Source organism: Homo sapiens, chromosome 8 (genome assembly GCF_000001405.40).
Source record: "Homo sapiens chromosome 8, GRCh38.p14 Primary Assembly".
Lineage (NCBI taxonomy): Eukaryota > Metazoa > Chordata > Mammalia > Primates > Hominidae > Homo > Homo sapiens.
The window spans coordinates 24252371-24276047 of NC_000008.11; positions in this window are offsets into that span (position 1 = coordinate 24252371).

Sequence of the window (23677 nt, forward strand, 5' to 3'; positions counted from 1 at the left end):
AAGAATTAAAAGTATTTAGCTCAATATTTTCGGCAACTTTCACAATCTGCTGTACTCACTCTTTCAAGCCTCATTTTTCTCCAGGCTGCTCTATGAACCCTGTGCTTCATCTGAACTGACACAATTTTCTCATTCCCAAGGAAAATACCTTGCTCACGATTCTCCACTCTTCAGAAACGGGAACCAAATTCTGCTTCATGTTTCTGAGTCCTACTTATAATCGAACACCCAGTATCTTAGTCTGTTTCATGTTGCTGTAACAGAATACCACAAGTTGGGTAATTTATGGAGAGAAATAATTTAGGGAGAACAGAGCTGGGGGGGAGGTGTAATTTATGGAGAATGGAGGCTGGGAGGTCCAAGGTTGAGGTGCCCACCTCTGGTGAGGGCCTCCCCATGGCAGAAGGTGGAAGGGAAAGAGAATGCACGTGAGAGATACCAAGAGAATAGAGAAGGGGGCCAAACTCATCTTGCATCAGGAACCCACTCTCAGGATAAATAACCCACTCCCATGATAACTAACAAACTCCCATGGTGACTAAACCTCTCCCATGATGAAGCATTAACCCATTCATGAGGGCTCTGCCCTCATGACCTAATCACTGCTTATAGGTCCCACCTGTCAACATTTGCATTGGGGATTAAGTTTTTCACACATGAACTTTGGGAGACATTTGGGGAATTTGGGGAACATTCAAATCATAGCACCCAGTTTACATTGCACCTGAACCCAAAAGCCTTTCTCAAGCCCCCAAACCAAATGTTATTTTCCAGAATTTCATTAGAATTGTAGGCCCATTTCATTTTCTTGGGTCTTGATGTACACTGCCTGCATTGCCAGACACCTTTTTTTTTTTTTTTAAATTGTTTACATCTTGTTATTTCAGCTTTCTTGAAAATAACTAAGCATAGAAACTTGGATGTTTGCCTCTTTTGTATTCTCTCATAGCACACAACCGGTGCCTTTCACACTACAGTCAAATACGTATTTAACTGGTTGTACACCCAAAAGAAGTAGAAATAATGTAGCTTTAATTGGATTTCTAACTGCTTATTTATAACAGCAATTTTTTTAATTTCTGAAGAAAACCATGTTGATTTTTATTTCATTTTTTTTGTTTTTATAATATCTTTGGATAACTTCTGAGTTTTTTTCAGTTGATTTTAAGAATCCTTCATTTTAAATGTTCAAGCATAATTTTTAAAGGTGTTAAATAGTAATTTGGGCTAAAAAATTAGGCTTTGTTGATTGGGTCAGTTCCTATACTGAACTTAGGAAGAAAAAAATCAATAGTTTTCCTAGAGCTTCTTGTTAAAAGTACAATAAACACTCCCAGAATTGTGAAGAAGTATAGCACAGTCAAGTTTGTTTGCCCAGGAGCCAAAAAATTAAAGGAACATATGTTTGGCAAGTTAGTGGGATGTCAGATAATGGGTTTAAATGATCATAGGAACATCTTTGCTGAATTTTCCAGAATTCAGAGGTTCCCAGATGAATGAGACTGGGATCAAGGGACTAAGGGAATGAGCAGAGCCTGTAATTGTGGTCATTTATTCTATGTTGCTTTACACTTACCATAATTGACTCTTCTGTAACAAACAGTCATCTGCTATGTAATATTCCATTACCTACTTGGAAAGTAAAAACACCTTTCTAGGATTGTTCTAGTATATTAGAACCAATCACCCCAGTACATTCTGCCTTCAGAGTCAATTAGTACCATCAAGACATTACATATATCTCTAACCTAACACTCTGTCAATACCAAGGTGATATTTTCTAACTGTTTTTAACTTACCTAAATAACCTGAGAGAATCAGATAGATGTACAGGGATCTGGCTTTCCCATTCAGAGTCATCAGGAAATAATTCAGCATTTATTTGTGTCACTCTAAGAATTCTACTCTCAAAAATAGAAAAAAAACATGGTTGAAATAAAAAAATGTAACACAAACTTATCAAAGATAATTTGAAAGCAAAAAAAGTAATTAAAAAAAGGAAAGAAACATCTTATTCCCATCCATATTTAAGGGCCACTATTCATGTTTTGTTGTAATTTCAGTTTTTCTTAGAACATATAACTTTTTTATTCAGAATTGAGATCATACAGTGCTAATTTGTAACTTGCTTTTAAATTTAGCAACACATTATGAATAGCACATCATGTTATACATTACATGATATTCTTTTTTTATTTTTATTATACTTTAAGTTTTAGGGTACATGTGCACATTGTGCAGGTTAGTTACATATGTATACATGAGCCATGCTGGTGCGCTGCACCCACTAACTCGTCATCTAGCATTAGGTATATCTCCCAATGCTATCCCTCCCCCCTCCCCCAACCCCACCACAGTCCCCAGAGTGTGATGTTCCCCTTCCTGTGTCCATGTGATCTCATTGTTCAATTCCCACCTATGAGTGAGAATATGCGGTGTTTGGTTTTTTGTCCTTGTGATAGTTTACTGAGAATGATGATTTCCAATTTCATCCATGTCCCTACAAAGGACATGAACTCATAATTTTTTATGGCTGCATAGTATTCCATGGTGTATATGTGCCACATTTTCTTAATCCAGTCTATCATTGTTGGACATTTGGGTTGGTTCCAAGTGTTTGCTATTGTGAATAATGCCGCAATAAACATACGTGTGCATGTGTCTTTATAGCAGCATGATTCATAGTCCTTTGGGTATATACCCAGTAATGGGATGGCTGGGTCAAATGGTATTTCCAGTTCTAGATCCCTGAGGAATGGCCACACTGACTTCCACAATGGTTGAACTAGTTTACAGTCCCACCAACAGTGTAAAAGTGTTCCTATTTCTCCACATCCTCTCCAGCACCTGTTGTTTCCTGACTTTTTAATGATTGCCATTCTAACTGGTGTGAGATGGTATCTCATTGTGGTTTTGATTTGCATTTCTCTGATGGCCAGTGATGATGAGCATTTTTTCATGTGTTTTTTGGCTGCATAAATGTCTTCTTTTGAGAAGTGTCTGTTCATGTCCTTAGCCCACTTTTTGATGGGGTTGTTTGTTTTTTTCTTGTAAATTTGTTTGAGTTCATTGTAGATTCTGGATATTAGCCCTTTGTCAGATGAGTAGGTTGCGAAAATTTTCTCCCATTTTGTAGGTTGCCTGTTCACTCTGATGGTAGTTTCTTTTGCTGTGCAGAAGCTCTTTAGTTTAATTAGATCCCATTTGTCAATTTTGTCTTTTGTTGCCATTGCTTTTGGTGTTTTAGACATGAAGTCCTTGCCCATGCCTATGTCCTGAATGGTAATGCCTAGGTTTTCTTCTAGGGTTTTTATGGTTTTAGGTCTAACGTTTAAGTCTTTAATCCATCTTGAATTGATTTTTGTATAAGGTGTAAGGAAGGGATCCAGTTTCAGCTTTCTACATATGGCTAGCCAGTTTTCCCAGCACCATTTATTAAATAGGGAATCCTTTCCCCATTGCTTGTTTTTCTCAGGTTTGTCAAAGATCAGATAGTTGTAGATATGCGGCGTTATTTCTGAGGGCTCTGTTCTGTTCCATTGATCTATATCTCTGTTTTGGTACCAGTACCATGCTGTTTTGGTTACTGTAGCCTTGTAGTATAGTTTGAAGTCAGGTAGTGTGATGCCTCCAGCTTTGTTCTTTTGGCTTAGGATTGATTTGGCGATGTGGGCTCTTTTTTGGTTCCATATGAACTTTAAAGTAGTTTTTTCCAATTCTGTGAAGAAAGTCATTGGTAGCTTGATGGGGATGGCATTGAATCTGTAAATTACCTTGGGCAGTATGGCCATTTTCATGATATTGATTCTTCCTACCCATGAGCATGGAATGTTCTTCCATTTGTTTGTATCCTCTTTTATTTCCTTGAGCAGTGGTTTGTAGTTCTCCTTGAAGAGGTCCTTCACATCCCTTGTAAGTTGGCTTCCTAGGTATTTTATTCTCTTTGAAGCAATTGTGAATGGGAGTTCACTCATGATTTGGCTGTTTGTCTGTTGTTGGTGTATAAGAATGCTTGTGATTTTTGTACATTGATTTTGTATCCTGAGACTTTGCTGAAGTTGCTTATCAGCTTAAGGAGATTTTGGGCTGAGACAATGGGGTTTTCTAGATATACAATCATGTCGTCTGCAAACAGGGACAATTTGACTTCCTCTTTTCCTAATTGAATACTCTTTATTTCCTTCTCCTGCCTAATTGCCCTGGCCAGAACTTCCAACACTATGTTGAATAGGAGTGGTGAGAGAGGGCATCCCTGTCTTGTGCCAGTTTTCAAAGGGAATGCTTCCAGTTTTTGTCCATTCAGTATGATATTGGCTGTGGGTTTGTCATAGATAGCTCTTATTATTTTGAAATATGTCCCATCAATACCTAATTTATTGAGAGTTTTTAGCATGAAGGGTTGTTGAATTTTGTCAAAGGCTTTTTCTGCATCTATTGAGATAATCATGTGGTTTTTGTCTTTGGCTCTGTTCATATGCTGGATTACATTTATTGATTTGCGTATATTGAACCAGCCTTGCATCCCAGGGATGAAGCCCACTTGATCATGGTGGATAAGCTTTTTGATGTGCTGCTGGGTTCGGTTTGCCAGTATTTTATTGAGGATTTTGCATCAATGTTCATCAAGGATATCGGTCTAAAATTCTCTTTTTTTGTTGTGTCTCTGCCTGGCTTTGGTATCAGAATGATGCTGGCCTCATAAAATGAGTTAGGGAGGATTCCTTCTTTTTCTATTGATTGGAATAGTTTCAGAAGGAATGGTACCAGTTCCTCCTTGTACCTCTGGTAGAATTCGGCTGTGAATCCATCTGGTCCTGGACTCTTTTTGGTTGGTAAGCTATTGATTATTGCCACAGTTTCAGATCCTGTTATTGGTCTATTCAGAGATTTGACTTCTTCCTGGTTTAGTCTTGGGAGAGTGTATGTGTCAAGGAATTTATCCATTTCTTCTAGATTTTCTAGTTTATTTGCGTAGAGGTGTTTGTAGTATTCTCTGATGGTAGTTTGTATTTCTGTGGGATCAGTGGTGATATCCCCTTTATCATTTTTTATTGCATCTATTTGATTCTTCTCTCGTTTCTTCTTTATTAGTCTTGCTAGTGGTCTATCAATTTTGTTGATCCTTTCAAAAAAGCAGCTCCTGGATTCATTAATTTTTTGAAGGGTTTTTTGTGTCTCTATTTCCTTCAGTTCTGCTCTGATTTTAGTTATTTCTTGCCTTCTGCTAGCTTTTGAATGTGTTTGCTCTTGCTTTTCTAGTTCTTTTAATTGTGATGTTAGGGTGTCAATTTTGGATCTTTCCTGCTTTCTCTTGTGGGCATTTAGTGCTATAAATTTCCCTCTACACACTGCTTTGAATGCGTCCCAGAGATTCTGGTATGTTGTGTCTTTGTTCTCGTTGGTTTCAAAGAACATCTTTATTTCTGCCTTCATTTCGTTATGTACCCAGTAGTCATTCAGAAGCAGGTTGTTCAGTTTCCATGTAGTTGAGTGGTTTTGAGTGAGTTTCTTAATCCTGAGTTCTAGTTTGATTGCACTGTGGTCTGAGAGACAGTTTGTTACGATTTCTGTTCTTTTACATTTGCTGAGGAGAGCTTTACTTCCAACTATGTGGTCAGTTTTGGAATAGGTGTGGTGTGGCGCTGAAAAAAAATGTATATTCTGTTGATTTGGGGTGGAGAGTTCTGTAGATATCTATTAGGTCCGCTTGGTGCAGAGCTGAGTTCAATTCCTGGGTATCCTTGTTGACTTTCTGTCTCGTTGATCTGTCTAATGTTGATTCTATAATGTCATTTAAATATTTACATAGTATTCCATTATCTCACTAGTCCTCATTTTAAATAACATTTTAATAACTATTCTTCCATTTATAACTATTACAAACACTTCTGCCATATCTTTATTCCCATTTTTCTGCATTCATATTAACTTCCTATTATATTGTATCAGATAAATAAATTCTCTGTTCTCCTTTTCCTTTAATGCATATACTTCTCCTCTGAGTTCTAAAAAAAATGTTTCTCAAGCTTGCTTTCTAATTCCCTCTCGTATCCAATCTAATGCATCCTTCCTTCAGTGCACTTCAGTAGATATTATATTTTTCCTCTCTAGAAATTTCCTTGAGATTTTCTCTTCTCCCAGAAAATTATGGTCTAATTTTAGGATGTAATAGTTGCTCAGATAACCCAATGGACAAAAATTAAATATTTGCTAACATTTTCTTCTCTGTCTTACAGCATATCTGTTTCATTGAGGGCTATTTGTTGATGCCGCAATTCAACTTTGTTCTTTAAGTACGTTTTTCTTTAAGTATTTTCACGAGTAATTCATAAATAGGTGAGTTCATTCAGATTAATAAGAGGAAGAATAATTATTACTAAATGTTAATTATTCAGTAAATTTTGTAAAGTCTTTCATTAACATGGCTTTTAAATACAATATTAGAAATAGTTTTCAATAGGCAAAACTTCTTACAGAAGAAAGCAAGAAGTTGATTTTATTTTGTCAGAACCTTCTTCCAGTTTCAAATCTGTCCTGTTTTAATCTCAAGACATTCAGTTGCTTTTAAAAAATTATAACTTTGGGTACAGATTTGTAAAACCTATTAATGGCTAATTTTTCATTAGCTACCAATTTCTTGAGGTTCTTTTTTTTTTGTGGGGATAGGGGTCAGGGATGTGTGTGTGTGTGTGAGGGTGTATGTGTGTGTGTTTCCTCCCAGAAGTGTAAGAGGGAGTGGGAAGGAAAAAGGGGCAGGAGCAAAGGGAGTGAGTTGTTAAGAGAAGCTCTGGTAAACAGTCTCAACAAGAGACATAGTGTTTATATTGACATCACCGGGGATGGTAGCATTTAAAATAAAGTGAATGAGGAGAACAAGAAGTGACTTGGCAAGCAATTATAAGAAACAATGAACCAAGTTATTCAATGTAATACAAACTTATCATAGATAATTTGAAAGCAAGACATTAGAAAAAAGAAAAAACATCTTTCTTATTCCTATCCATTCATACTTTGTTATAATTCCAGTTTTCTTAGAATATATAACATAAACTTTTTATGCCGAATTGAGAGAGACTACACAATGCTAATATATAATTTGCTTTTAAATTTAGTCACACATTATGAATAGTATAACCCACCAAATTATAACCCTTTGGGGCAAGGCAGATTTGATGCATGTAACTAAAGAGGCCTGTTACACCGGGGCATTGGTTGCTAGTGATAGTTTATGGCCTACCAACAACAAAATGTCTCATCCAGTTTTATTAAAACTCATTTAAAGAACTTCTATTACTGCCATATCTTATGTATTACTACCCAAATAAGACGTACAGAAAGTTTTTTTCAATTATTGGAAAAACAGGATACATGTTATTTTGCCAGCAGCTGAAAGAACCACCAAATAAAAGTTATTATATTGACCTGTTCTGAGTCATGTATTCATTTATTCATTCATTCATTCAGTGATGAGTTAGTCAATTCACTAAAAGAGTAGACACTATGTTAAATAAAACTTTAAAGGATTAGAATAATCCACTAAGACATTTTGTTCAACAGTACTGGCAACATATTATAAATTGAAGTCTAAAAACTGTTCACCAAAGTGGCTGAAAATGGCTTTTTCTTCCTATCCAAGTCAGTAATTTGTACTTAGAACCAAAATGCTAGGTCCAAGTTACAACAGATTACAGTTGGATATGAGAAAATGGTTTATAGAAATCAGTGGAGATTTGTTTCTCTTCACTTTCTGCAAAGGTTCTACATAAATCTGAAATGGTTTCACTTGTGTCTTTTATGATGATCAGGTTTCTCTTTAACATGACTAAGTCCACTTTGGATTGTTCATTATAGATTCCAAATAAATATTTATTGTTAAGATGACTAAATTGTAATATTAGATCTTGATGTTGTAGACTTGGACAGTGTCAGAGAAGCCTATACTTGAACCTTCCTAAATCCTCCTCAAAGTGTTGGTAAACTTTTCCTGTAAGACAACTTATTCTTAATGCACTACAAACCAGATTTTCTTAGATTTTTGTTTTCAATTTTCCAGTGGGTGGCTTTCTCAGACAAGCTTAATGAATAAGCTTTTGCTGTATTTCAACATTTATCAAAAATGAGTCACTGCCTATTATAAAATTATTTGACAATACCCAGGGAAAGAGTTATAATGATGAAACAAGAAAATGGGAACAATTTACTCAAGGAGAAGGGAGGATTTACAAAAAGAAGTGAAGAAGCAGAGAAGACAATCATCTAAATGGAAAATTCTTCCTAACCGAGGTATTTTAACCAAGTGGACTTATGAACTGAAAAGCTGAGATCTGTGATCTTCAAGCCTGGCTGAATCTTAGAATCACTTGGGGGAGTTTTTAACAAACACCAAAGTCTGGGTTTCTCCCCTGGAGTATATGATTTAATTTGCTTGGGGTGACGTCTGAGCATTGGTGTTTATTAATAGCTCTCCAGGTGACACTAATGGACAGAGTTGAGACCACTAGCCTTGATCATTGTCTCAACTGCCCATATGAAATATACTGTATTTCTACAGAAAGTGTGGATTATTGATCTTTAATTTCTTTCGAGTTCCAGAAACATTGCAGTTAGAGGTTAAACACACACAGGCACAATAAAACATCAAGCTGTCAGATCTTTAAAGCCAAAGATAGGGTTTGGTTGTTAACACAGTCTTTAAATGCCATTGTTAATCACTGATCTTTAATAAAAATAAAATAGTGTAGCTTATTCTAAGATTAAACGTTAGCCAAAACTGTTAACTTTAGGAATATAAATAGGAATTGGCAAATTCTTTGGAAATAGCTGTCCGGTATTTTACTTCGTTCCTCTTGAAGGTGAAAGTGGTAACACATGAAGAGTGATGTAGGGACGTAGGGTGATGTGCAGCCCTTATCAGTATTTTCCTCCATGCTGAGAAAGCTGCTACAGTTGGAAGTAGTTGGGCCAGGTGTGGTTGATGAGTCCTAGGAAATATGTCTATAAGCTCCACAATTGAGGAATAAAAAAATTGTGTGGGAATAGGGCTGCATGATTCAACACAATAAGGAAGAAAGTAGAGTCTCCTCAAAAATAGCAAATCTTTTTTTTGCTAAGTCTTGATTACTTACTTTTATTAGTTATAGTATTAATACACTTACAGGGATTAGTTGGAAGTCATCTCTGAACAAGAATGGAACATTGGGTAGCAAAGTCCAAGCAGAAGCACTACTTCCACCAACATATCTGAAACCACAGTGCAGACATAGCCCCATTTCTTTCTGTGTTGCCTTCCCCCTCCCAACTGTTAACATGACTGGACTTCACAATATCCTACTCCCAAATCTTACTGACACTTGAGGTTGCAGTCCTTTCTTCCTTCTGTATTTCCACTTAACTGGAATCTCTTTCAACCATTGTCAAGGTGCCTAACAAATATCCCATTAAAATTTTGGCTTATCTGATTCATACTTAATTTTTGTTAACTTTAGTTCCTTTGTTTGTGAAGGAGGAATATTACTTGTCCTATAGTTTTTTATTGTTATTATACTTTATTATACTTTTAGTATACTATGTTATACTTTGAGTTCTGGGATACATGTACAGAATGTGCAGGTTTGTTACATAGGTATATGCATGCCATGGTGGTTTGCTGCACCCATCAACCCATCATCTATGTTAGGTATTTCTCCTAATGCTATCCCTCCCCTAGCCCCCCACCCCCCAACAGGCCCCGGTGTGTGATGTTCCCCTCCCTGTGTCCATGTGTTCTCACTGATCAACTCCCACTTATGAGTGAGAACATGTAGTGTTTGGTTTTCTGTTCCTGTGTTAGTTTGCTGAGAATGATAGTTTCCAGCTTCATCCACGTCCCTACAAAGGACGTGAACTCATCCATTTTTATGGCTGCATAGTATTCCATGGTGTTTATGTGCCACATTTTCTTTATCCAGTTTATTATTGATGGGCATTTCAGTTGGTTCCAAGTCTCTGCTATTGTGAACAGTGCCACAGTAAACATATGTGTGCATGTCTCTTTATAGTAGAATGATTTATAATCCTTTGGGTATATACCCAGTAATGGGATTGCTGGGTCAAATGGTATTTCTAGTTCTAGATCCTTGAGGAATGGACACACTGTCTTCCACAATGGTTGAACTAACTTATACTCCCACCAGCAGTGTAAAAGCGTTCCTATTTCTCCACATCCTCTCCAGCATCTGTTGTTTCCTGGGTTTTTAATGATCGCAACTCTAACTGGTATAAGATGATGTCTCATTGTGGTATCTCAGTGATGATGAGCTTTTTTTCCATATGTTTTTTGGCTGCTTCAATGTCTTCATTTGAGAAGTGTGTTCATATCCTTTGCCCACTTTTTGATGGGGTTGTTTGTTTTGGGTGAAGGATATATCCTATAGTTTTTACTAGAACAAAAAATTTGATTATTTTATGGGAAAGTATACTGTAAACATTTGCTACTCAACCTAGAAAAATTCACAGGGTTTACTTTCTTTTCTTCTACCACCAAGCATGAATGCGGTATGCATTTCACAGATGCTTCTCCTATTGGAATATTCAATGCCAGGATGTACTCATTGCTGTCCCATAATTATTTCAACTTTTGTGGCCTCCTTGTTGCGTTGTCCAAATTGCTGTTTCATAACTTTTCTACTTTCTTCAAATCTCTACTTTTCTCCCATTTCAGCTGCTGTAAGTAGATGGTCTGCTCTCTATTTGTGGGTCCATCTGATGGGATGTCCCTTTAATGTTTCTATATTTTATCCACATATTTCCCTAGTCTTTCATCCTTCTTATCTCTCCTTGCTCCCACCAAAAATTTCTCTTAAAGATGAACTTGACTGAATTCTATCTCCTCCTTCTGTGTAACCTACTATTTCATTACCCGCTCTCTGTCCAGCCTCCTCAATCTCTATTTATTGATTTGCCGCCTTCAGAAACATTCTGTTTTCACCATCCTAATATAAACTCTCCTTCACCCTGCTTCTAGTTATATTACCATCTCTCTCTTTCCCTCTCTCGCTTTTTTTTTTTTTTTGAGATGCAGTTTTGCTCTTGTTGCCCAGGCTGGAGTCCAATGGCACAATCTCGGCTCACTGAAACCTCCACCTCCTGGGCTCAAGCAATTCTGCCTCAACCTCTCCAGTAGCTGGGATTACAGGTGCCTGCCATCACGCCCAGCTAATTTTTGTATTTTTAGTAGAGACAGGGTTTCCCCATGTTGGTCAGGTTGGTCTCAAACTCCTGACCTCAAATGATCTGCCAGCCTCAGCCTCCCAACGTGTTAGGATTACAGGCATGAGCCACTGCGCCCAGCCTACCATATCTCTCTTTTACTAGTATCCCACATCTTCTTAGTAGCATCTTCTCATCCTTTTTTGCTTTTACCTCTTATCTCCCTTTGTCCCCTTTTCAAGCCTCATTTTCTGTGACCTCTTGGCTGCATTTTCCTCAGTTAACAATTCCTACCTTTATGATGCCAGCATTCCCTTTGTCCTCTGAGACAAAGGCTGCTCTCATTTGTGTCTTGCATTTCACTCTTTCAGTGACTCTTTTATTCTTCCTTAGCCTCTAAGTGCGATTTTACATACATCCATTCCATGGCTATCTTCTCTTCCTACAATTTCTCCCATAAGGCCATAATCCATTTCTACCACTTGTAATATGTACATAACTACGAAATTTGTGTGTTCAACACCACTCTCTTGAAACCCATTCTTGCATTTTCAGTTGTTTGGTGGTCACACCCACCAAACTCATATTTAAAACTGAACTCATTTTGTTTCCCTCAAGCACATTCATTTTCCAGTACTTTTTGTTTCTATTAATGGCATTATCAATTACCTAATAATGCTTCAATCTCAATCACCCACTCAGCCATATTTAGTCTAAATGCAATTAGATTCATATTTAAAAATTATTTAATCAGTCTGGCCCATGCAATAACTATTAGATATACACACATGATTCTTTATTGTCATTGTTTAGTGGTATGGATATTTTGTAAAAATTAGTATGAAATAAATTACTAGAAATTGTTCCAGTTAATGACACTGTATTTATGAGAAGAAATGAGTTCATTTATTTTGCAATCTGATATGCAATTTTTGCCCTGGAACTAAACAAATAGCTAGTGTGGTGTGAATCTCTTTATGATACTGTTAAATCCTATCTGAAGTGTATTTTAAAACTCATCTTAATGTTAAGCTACAGCAAGCACTATGTCCCATTTATTTCGATTTTATTGAAAGTTCCTAGCACACTGCCTATATCTAGCGGGTAATCAATAAATAATCACTAAATTCACAGAGACATTCAGGACTTGAGGTAAAATGAAAAAAGCCACCCCAAAAATGGAATGACTGGAGGGAAAATTGCTGGTGACAGAGTAGAGAGATTATAAAAACATTCTTGGCTTGCTTTTACATTATTCTTAAGCCCAGATAAAGTGATGGCATCTTCAGCAAGAAAAAAAGGAAATAAATACAAGAAGTACATAGATTTCTACCCTACAATGTCACCATGTGTTTCTTATATTTTATCTTTTTTCTTTGTGATTGGCAAGCCCTACATATTTAGCTCAATGTTCATTTTGGTGGTTCTTCCAGAAATATCATAAGATTAGCTCACTTATGAAACATGAGCAATTTTTCTCCATGATTATTACTAGTAACAGCAATTAGTTAACAAAAAGATTCAGTGCAAGCAGAGCTACGGAGTCATTTGCTGTTTAAAACTTTACTGGAGGTGGTGATGGGAGAGCCATTTAACAGAGTTTACACATTTTAAAGCAGTTTGAGCCTGGAATTATGAGAACATAGACCTTAAGAGAACTAATTTCCAACTTTGTAAATTTTCTCATGAAATTACAGAATTACTTTGAGATTCTTCATACAATTCCAGCACTTTTGATTTTATGTTGAAACTGGGTTGGCTTAGAGTCAAGCCACAGTTCTTGTGTGTTTTTTACAATTGGTTTTATGCTGCCTCCCCGTTAGTTTGGCACTGGCTCTGTGACATGCCTGAAAATGTGTCAAGAAAATCCAGTCTCTTGTTTTCATTACCAAGATATTATAGCTTCATAGAACGCTTATTGGGCAAATGACAGTCTCCCTCCACTGTGAGAATGGGAATTATATTGGATTTTTCAACACAGCCATTTGCTGAAAATGAACTTGCTGGTGTGAGCTACTGTTTCCACAAGCAGGATGTAGAATGAGAAATGCATTAATGCCTTGATATTTGATATCTTAGACTCACACAGGATATGTGGAACACAGGAAAGAAATAAGGAGAAAAAAGGAAAAGAAGTGACCAGAACTTTGCTTTGATTTTCATTGTCTCTTTTAACCTATAGAGGCAAAGCAAAGTTCACTTTTCACTATGAAATACTTATCCCATTAACTTAGGTCAAATTAAATGAAGAAATGGTAGTAACATTTTGTAAAATGACAAATAGCTATATAAAAGGAAAATATTATCATTATATTACTATTTCACGGGTAGTAATACTATAAATGCATCTATAAGTACTATAAATTAGTATATAGAGTATAGATAGTATAAATTTATAAATACCATACATACATAAATACAAAGAACATATAAATTCTTTGTGAGCTCCTCAATGCCAAGAGAGACGTTTGGCTTCATTTTTGTATCTATTCGGGGGGTGGCATGTATCTATTTGGGGGATGTGTATGTACTTAGTTTATAAAGAAGTAGCATTACCTTAAGATTATTTTGTCATCACCTTAATAATCACAGCTGGATGTGTCTATTAGGGTGAAAAAAACCTAACATTTTTCCTTTGGAAAGATAAAGAGTTAAATTTTAAAAAGTAAGAGAAAGAAGGATCCCAGAATTCTCCAGTGTGACATTCTGGAAATACTCGTATAAAACAGAAGTATCTATGGATTGATGTGTCTTGCCTGAGAGTATCACTCTACAAAAACAATAGGATGGAAAAAATATCTTGGTGACTCGTCTATTTCCAATAGATGTTCTCTATTCTACAACGTATTCTAAATAGAAGGCATGCTTATTCCAAAACGCCGTGCCCAAACTCTAAACACAGTGAAATTTGTATGTCTGTTTCTTTATGGAAAAACTTAAAGCCAGTTTCTAACATAGTCTGGAGACTTAATAAAGGCTCATCAAAAATGTAGAATTGATTCTTTTTCCTGTTTGTGAATCCTAACAGACTCTCCAGTCCCAGGTCTAATCTCACCTTCTTGTGGCGATGTCCACAAGTGCAGAAAGGAAAATTAAAAATCATCTTACGGCTGGGCATGGTGGCTCACACCTGTCACCCCGGCACTTTGGGAGGACGAGGCGGGTGGATCACCCGAGGTCAGGAGTTCGAGACCAGCCAGGCCAACATGGCAAAACCCCATCTCTACTGAAAATACAAAAATTAGCTGGGCGTGGTGGAACGTGCCTATAATCCTAGCTACTCGGGAGGCTGAGGTGGGGGAATCGCTTGAACCCAGGAGGCGGAGGTTGCAGTAAGCCGAGATCACACCATTGCACTCCAGCCTGGGCAACAGGGTGAGATTCCATCTCAGGAAAAAAAAAAATCATCTTGCTTGGCTGTGTTATTTTTACAAAGGAGAAAACTGAAATGTACAAAGGTTAATTGAATCGCCTAAGCTCACACAGTCTAGTTGTTCTGAGGCTAAAACCCAAATCTTCAAGTCCAAGTCTGTTCACTTACTCAGCTTCCTCACTGTCTGTAGTGAACCTCTCAGCTTTGAAATTACTAAATAAATGCAGTTTAGGAAGACAGTGTTCTAGGAAATGGGTGAAATGTTCCAGGACCAGCTCCCTGACTGAGCATGTCTTCCTGACAAAGGTAATAGATGTAGGGGGCTTGCTGCACTCAACGCCTCCTTCTGTCCTGCCTGGTTAGTTTGAGGGCGTTATGATGGGAATTACAACACAGGGTTGGAACAACCTCCTTGCCAAGCTTATCATAGATTCCTTTTGGTACCAGGAATCAGTGTATGCTTCAGAATACTGATTTTGAAACTGGGTCTATAAGTGGACTTCAGGGGGTCAGGAAAGTGGCTCAGCTCTAGCACTGACTCTAGAGGTGCAGATGGGATAGACAGTGGGCAATTGTAAAAGATTCAGGTGGCCAAGGAATCAGGTATTTAGAACCAAGTAGCAAAGAATTTAGGCAAAGGTGAGTTTTCAGATTTAGGCCAGAGGACAGGGAGGCAGTTGTTATTTCTGAGAACTGTACATGGCTGGCAAAACCCTCTGCACTGTCTTAGATCTAGAAAAGTCTTAAGGTGGGCCTGAAGGCATCAGGACACCTCTATTAAAAAAAATCCGTCAAATCAGAAAACACCAGAAAAATGACTAGGGATAGAGAAGGTGTTCTATCAGCCATATAACTTGTATCCAGAAATCTCCTCTGGCAACAACAGTTCTGGACAGCAAAAGAAACTCAGAGAATATCATACCAATCCAGCAGGCAAGACAGGACCACTTATTCCTGGGTCTAGAAAGGGTCATGTTTCCTTCTCACATCTGCTAAATATGGAGAGGAGCAGAGACTGTTTTTTGGATCCCATATTATTTAAGATGGACTCAAGTGCTGCATGGGACTGACTAAACCTTTGGGTGGGACAGCAGTAAGACTGCCATGAGGAGCTGGGTGTAGTCAGAGGCAGGGATGTTGCTGAAGACTTACAAGAACAATCAAAGTGATGTTTCAGAAAGATCCATCTGAATGGGGAGTACAGAATGCTCTGGAGGAGAGAATTTGCAGACTGGAAAATTGCAGAAGTCCAGGCATGGCAATGTAAATGGAAGTCGGGATGAGCATGGTATAGAAACTACAGGTGAATAGAACGGCTTGCCAGTATTAGGTGGGTGCAAAAGTAATGCGGTTTTGCCATGAAAAGTACTAGATTGAGAGCTTAGGAGAGCCACTACATAATTTACTGTGACACACAATTCTATCAACAGGCCAGAACAACAGGAGAAAACCAGGACCGTCCCAGGGAAACTCAGATGTGTGGTCACTGTGGATACAGGGTTCAAAGCACAGGAAGAGTCCAGGTAGATTTTGGGTTTGGTCAGCTCCTGGGAAACTTAAGTCCAGCCTACTTGGAAGTAGAACTGAGCTCTCATACATTCTGTATGATATGACACAGGATCACAGGGTGTGATAAATCAACTAGGTATCCCTGTCTTTTTGTTTAGCCCTTTTTTTTGCTTTAGTTAATAAGTTAATAAGACTCAAATGTGAAGTATTAGTACTGTAGTACTCCAGACTCTGGACTCTTACTAAAAGTAGTTTCAGAGTTTCCCAAACTATCTTCTGAGAAATACTGCCTAAAATGATGTGATGATTCAAAAACATATTCTCAAATTTTTGACATTCTTCCCGTTAAGAGGAGTAGTCTAATTCAGCGGTCCCCAGCCCCGGGCCATGGACCATTACTGGCCGGTGGCTTGTTAGAAATCAGGCTGCACAGCAGGAAGTGAGCTGTGGGTGAGTGAGCATTACCACCTGAGCTGCACCTGCTGTTTGAGAATCTAATGCAGCCACTGATCTTAGTGTGGCAGGCCAATTCTCCCTGATAATCACACAGACAGGCCTGCATAGCACCCAGTTACACAAATTTCCACAGTGCTGCCTTAACATTGAGCAAATAGTTAAACCTAGGGAAATCGGTGCCCAGACATCAAAGCCAGAAATGAAACATACGGCCAGTAGTAGCCTTGCATGGGCTTCTCCCTTGCTGGAGCAAGTCAAAATAATAGAAACAGTTTTACATTCCTAATGCCAGGACCAATCTTAGGTCGACAAAATCTGAGACAAGTCAAGGTAACAGAGACAGCTGTTTGAATAGATTCATCGGAGAGTCTAAGGCAGCCCTCAGGACCAAGCTGTAAAGGAGATATGATGGAAATAATCACTCCAGTACCACAGCAGACAGGCCTTGAAGGCACTGGGGCCCTTTTAATCGAACTTAGTATTTTTTTGCTTCTGACCTTCTAGTTAAAACAAAATTAGTTAACAATAGACTTAGGCAAATGCTATACTGTACGTAGGCACATAATCCCAGCCTACATAAGCACTCGCAAAATTGTGATGCTTTGAGTTGGTCTGGTGGAATTATCTCCAGCCTTCTCCCTGTATCTAGTTACAGTAATTAACTTCCTTCTTTCCTTGTCTGCTTCTCATTATTGGGCCTCGAGAAAACACAGCTGGGTCTGGCATGGTTTGGGGAACAACAGGAGTGTGAACCCTATTGTGAACTGTGCACGCGAGGAATCTAGGTTGTAGACTCCTTATGAGAATCTAATGCCTGAGGTGGAACAGTTTTATCCCAGAACTGTGCCCCCCACCTCCATGCCCCTGTTCCGCAGTGAAAAAATTGTCTTCCATGAAACTGGTCTCTGGTACCAAAAAGGTTGGGGACCATTGGTCTAATTCCTCCTCCCTTGAATGTGAACTTGACTTAGTGTTTTGTTTCTAATGAATAGTATGTGGTGAGAATGACACTGCAGGGCTTTTGTTTTGTTTTGAGACGGAGTCTCTCTCTGTTGCCCAGGCTGGAGTTCAGTGGTGCTGTCTCAGCTCACTGCAACCTCTGCCTCCTGGGTTCAAGTGATTCACGATTCTCCTGCCTCAGCCTTCCGAGTAGCTGGGACTACAGGCGCATGTCACTACGCCCAGTTAATTTTTGTATTTTTAGTAGAGACTGGAATTCACCATGTTGGCTAGGAATGTCTCGATCTCTTGACTTCGTGATCCGCCTGCCTTGGCATCCTCCCATAGTGCTGGGATTACAGGCGTGAGCCACTGTGCCTGGCTGACACTGCATGGCTTTTGAGGGTAGAACATAAAAGACGACACAATTTCCACCTGGTCTGTCTTGGGACACTTGCCCTTAGGACTCAGATGCCAGGGTCTAAAGAGAACCCAGGCCACATGGAGCACCTTTGTGAGGGTGGCCCAGATGGCGCCTGGCTTGGCTTGGGTCCCAGGCAGCAGCCGCAGTTACCACCAGACATATGAGAAAATGTGAGCCTTTAGATGTTTCCAGACCCAACTGCCGACTAATGACAATTGCACCAGAGGCTCTAGGCAAGAAAGTCCTGGCTAAACCCAGGCACATTCTGGAACTGTGAGGGATACAATACTCATAAATGTTTGTTTGATGAGTATATTAAAGTGTGTGTGGTAGTTTGACTGGCTGCCATAAAGAATTAGAACAGATAGTAAACATTTTTCTACCAGAAATAGTTCTATGATCAAATATCTTCTGAAAATTCTATGTATTATTTTGGTTTGTCACCAGGAAAGGTAACTCAACTGAAAAAATCATGACATCTATACATTTGGAAAGAAGACTTTATTTCTTGTAAAGAGTTACAGCCTGCAAGGTGACCCTTCTGATAGGCCAGGAAGCGTAGCCTCCAGCAGAGCCCTAAAGGCAGGCACTCTGAAGCAGGGGTTGGAACAGGGATTTGTGCTGAATAGGTTGGCTAAGTATTCAGATTCAACAGGCTATAGGAGGAGCTATTAATATCCATGAAGGGGATCCTGATGCATGTGTACTGAATAAACGTGCATGTTACCTACCACCCATGTTCACATTCCACCCTGGTGGAACAGGGGCTTATGAGTCAGGGTCTGATGGTTGGTGAGCTGCATATGTTTTGATATTGCTTATCTCAAGGCTAGTGCTCCATTAGCTGCTAGAGAAAAAGAAAAGCCTTGTAGCAGTTACAACATAGTTTATTCTTTAAGTGTAGGAGTGCAGGACTTAACCCTTGCCTACATGACCTTAGGTCTCATTTATAATTTAGTATCTTATTGCCACAAAGAGTCCATTCTGTCAGTCTTATAATCTCTATTTTAACATTAATGCTGGTCAGTTGTTATGTCTAAGGCAAAAGGCAGGAGATACAACAGAGTGTGTCTGACCTTCCATTCCATCGTGACTTAGGTTTTAAGGTTTCTCTGAGGTCCTCTTGGCCAACAGGGAATCTGTTCAGTCAGCTGTGGGGCTTAGCATTTTATGTTTAGCTTTCAAAACACCTTAAAGTTTCTGAGAATTTGTCATTGCTTAGATGGTACTTTCAATGACACCACCCTCCCCCACCCCTTGCCTTTTTTGGTAGCAATAAAACTCTTAATGTCTCAAAAATCACAATGTTTCACACAGCACAGTGAAAATACTTAGAAACACTCTCGGTTTCAACGTGGTGTTATAAATTGTTGCTACAGTATCTCATTGGGGCTAAATTTATGCTTTTGTATGCATTGCTATCTTTCTAATTTTGCCAAAACAGATCCTCTGCAACTTAATAAGAGGTTTTGATCCAAGCCACCGAAGATCCTGTCTGGACAGTAAAAAACCTTTAAGAATGGGCTTGAGCTGAGCTAGACAGAACCCAGGAGTGATAGCACAGATTATTAGGCTTCAATGCAATAAAAGTCAGGCCTCTTGTTAGCCTGAGCTCAAATAATCTACCTGGAGGTCTCCTGAGTATCTAATTCTCACGTAGAAGACAACGTTTGCTGAAGTGTCATCTGAAGTTCACCGGAAGTAAACCGTACAATGCTGCAACACAACTAGAGCAACAGTAAGGAGTACAGAACTGTGATTAATACGCACGTAGGGCTTTTGAAGAAAACACGAGTGTGACACACAGTTGGCTCTGAAATTAAGCTTTGACAAGAAGTGATAAAGGGAAGTGTAAGTTGATCATGACTCACTTGGTAATCTGGTTCCAACCACTTCCTCCTGTGTATAAACATGGCAAGCTCTATCCTTCTTTTCTATCCAGAAATGGAGGGAACAGATGGCTTTGGAGAAATTTGTTTTGTAAGAGGAACTTCTGAATTGTCTGGCATGAGTTTTTTTTTTTTTTCTTTTAACATGAGCCTTAGCTCCAAACACTCAGGCTTATTAGAGGCCAATCCTCTATCACATTGCTGGGAGATGCCACCTTCCTTCTGACTACACTGACAAATCTCTGGCCTTGGCCCTTGTACATTTCTGCCTAAATTTCACAAATGAGAAAAGCTATAACTGGAGCAGAGATTTGCAGCAAAACAAAACAAAATAAAACCAAAATAATACAATTAAGAGACAGAACTGAGTTGATTTCCTGCTTTGGCATTAACTGGTAGTGGAAGTTTTTTCAAAAGTAACTTGGCCTCACTGACTTCAGGTTTCTTGTTAGGAAAATGAATAGGTTTGGCTCAAAGGCCAAGAATTCTTCTCACCTAAATGGTTATTCTCCAGCTCAAATCTCTGGTACATCCAGCAGCATCTCTGCTGGAGTCAATGGCGGTGTGTTGTAGAAAGCAGGGGTTGTTTTTTTTTTTTTGAATAACATCTATCTATACCTTCTCTGGTTCTGTCATCTTCCTTTTCTCCACCTGTTTAAAAAAATCTCACACATTAAATGACCACACACATTATTAGTTAACTTTGCCTCAAATAGCATCTCTAGCCTTCTCAACCCTTGTATTTTTCATTTGTTTTAAATTCTAACTACCCTTAAACTGTATATACCCTCTACTTATTTCCTGGTTGACTCTTCCCTCTCAGCCTTCAATCTTGTCTCCAAGTCATTGGCAGTCGGTAAACTGTTCTCGTGTCTTTAGCCAGCTTCTTCCCCTCTAAGCACAGTTTATTCTTATGAGAAGTCCTTCTTTCCAGGACAGAAAGACCAGTTCAAGCCTCACAAAATGAAAATGTTGCCTCTCACCTGCTATCGTTTCCCATATGTGTGCTATTTGTTTTATTTTCCAATATTTTGCTTGCCAGTTCTTTACTGCAAAATTCAGAGGAGAATGTTCTGCACTTGAGTAGGGTTTATGAGATAACTGAATTCTCATGCTCACTTTGTTATTTGCTATGTGTTCTTCCGCAAGGGATTGCTGTGTGGCTTATGCAAATTCATTCCTTAGTAGAACCTGCCCCTCAGTCTTACAGTGTCCTCATATCGCAAATTAGCTGCGTTCCTACCTTGCTCTACTTTTTTCTAAACTGTATACATTAGGAGCTTATGTGAACTTCTTTAACATCTGATATGTGTGTGTGTGTGTTTGTGTGTGTGTCAGAAAGAGAGGAAGAGAGAGAGAGGAAGAGAGAGAATATATGTGTGTTTGGTTTTGCCATCTCCCTGCAGAGTGGAAGGTAATGAATAATCATTTATAGTATGAATGGATAAAATTGGATAAAAGATGTGAAGATTAGTGAGGTTATCGCAAGTATCGATTTCTATTAGTAAATAGAACAGGGAAACACCTACTAATTCACTTTACTTACCTAAAAAAAAAGCCATAGTTTTGAAAAACTCAACAGCATTTTTCTGTAGCTTCTACTGTTCATATTTATTTTGGAATTTTCCAGATCTTAAATCTTGGAATGTTTATTTAAGGGTTTAAAATATAAGCAAAATAAATCCTGACTTCTGGCAAACATTACTATGCTAAGAATTAGTTGATTTCAAATTCTCAGACAGTTCTGTTAATTCTCAGTAGATGGTGACTGTGTGAACACACTGTACTCAGTGGGGTTAGATTTACCAATAAGTACATTATTATTTCCAGTAAAATGTGCTGTCCACTTTGGCAAAAGTGGAACGAACTTATTAATTACTAACTTACACTAATGCTGTTTTACATATAGATCCCAGTAAAGAACCCAACTAACAAAGACTGCAATCCAATTTGCCAGTATCAATAAAAATTGGCTGAAATGCCAAAGAAGGTTACTGAAGGATGTTGTACACACCACCAGCTACTTTTAAAAGTGGCGTGCCTGTCTCCAAATGGTGAGTGTGTGTACGAGTCTGCACATGGGGATTCTCTGTAACATCGTTTACGATAGAAAAGTGTCGGAAGCCATCCCAGGAAAAGACATCAGTTAAATGTTGTATGTCGATAAAATAGAGTGCTATGAAGAAATAAAAAGGCTTCAGAACTGCATCTATTGGAAGATTTTCACAACATTTTTTTAAATGAAAAAGAATGTTATATGTTATAAAATGTATGAATACCACGATCTCATTTTGAAAAAAGTAGGCCGGGTGCGGTGGCTCATGCCTGTAATCCCAGCAATTTGGGAGGCCCAGGCAGGTGGATCACCTGAGGTCAGGAGTTTGAGACCAGCCTGGCCAACACGGCGAAACCCTGTCTCTACTAAAAATACAAAAATTAGCCAGGTGTGGTGGCACGCACCTGTAGTCCCAGCTACTTGGGCGGCTGAGGCAGGACAATCACTTGAACCCAGGAGGCGGAGGTTGCAGTGAGCCAAGATTGTGTCACTGCACTCCAGCCTGGGTGACAGAGTGAGACTCTGTCTCACAAAAAAAAATAAAGAAAAGAAAAGAAAAGAAAAAAGTAGTGTACATGTGGATTTGTTGTAGAGAAATTTTCTAAAAGAATATACCCTGGAGTGATAATTTATATCAGCTTAGAGAAGTTAGAACCTTTAAAAACATTTTTTCCCATTTTTCCTTGTTTGTCCTTTTTCTGTTTTTCAATACTCAATATCAGATAACATTATAATAAACAAAAGTATTCCATGGTATATATGTGCCACATTTTCTTTATCCAGTCTATCACTGATGGGTATTTGGGTTGGTTTTAAGTCTTTGCTATTGTAAATAGTGCTGCAATAAACATACGTGTGCATGTGTCTTTATAGTAAATGATTTATAATCCTTTTGATATATACCCAGTAATGGTATATATCATTAATGATTATAGTATATATCAGTAATGATTGCTGGGTCAAATCCTTTGCAGGGACATGGATGAAGCTGGAAACCATCATACTCAGCAAACTAACTCAGGAACAGAAAACCAAACATCGCATGCTCTCACTCATAAGTGGGAGTTGAAAAATAGGAACACATGGACACAGAGAGGTGAACATCACATACCAGGGCCAGTAGGTGGGTAGGGGGTTGGGGGGATAGGGGAGGGAGAGCATTAGGACAAATATCTATTGCATGTGAGGCTTAAAACCTAGATGATGGTTTGACAGGTGCAGCAAACCACCATGGCACATGTATACCTATGTAACAAATCTGCACGTTCAGCACATGTATCCCAGAACTTAAAGTAAAATAAAGAAAAAAAAAAAAAATTCTCTTCTGAGTTAAAAAAAATATTTTCAAGGGGACTATTTACTTCTATTAATATATGTTAAAGGTCAAGAAAAATCATGCCCTCTGCATAAGAAAATGTGTATAGATAACCCAAGAAAATGATTAATGATGTAAGTGACATATATAAAAAATTGAGCTAATTTACCCTTTCTTCAGCAGTGGCATCCTTAGGAATACCTTTGAAAATACCAGTTCATTACCATTTTTTAAATCTTTGCCAATCTGATGGATGAAAAATATGATTTATATTTATATTTTACATTTCAATCTTTAAGCAATCTGGAATGAGTGAAGATTCTAAGTTTATGTTTTTCTTTTCCATACATAGCTATTAATTACTAAGTCTGCTAATCAATATCATGTTTTGAGCCCTCTAAACTTTCTCCTCTGATATGTAACTATAACCTTATCATACATTAAATACTTAGGTATATTTTGGTGCATTTCTGGACTTTCTCTTCTGCTCCACTGATCTGTCTGTTACTATGCCTGTACAAGACCTTTA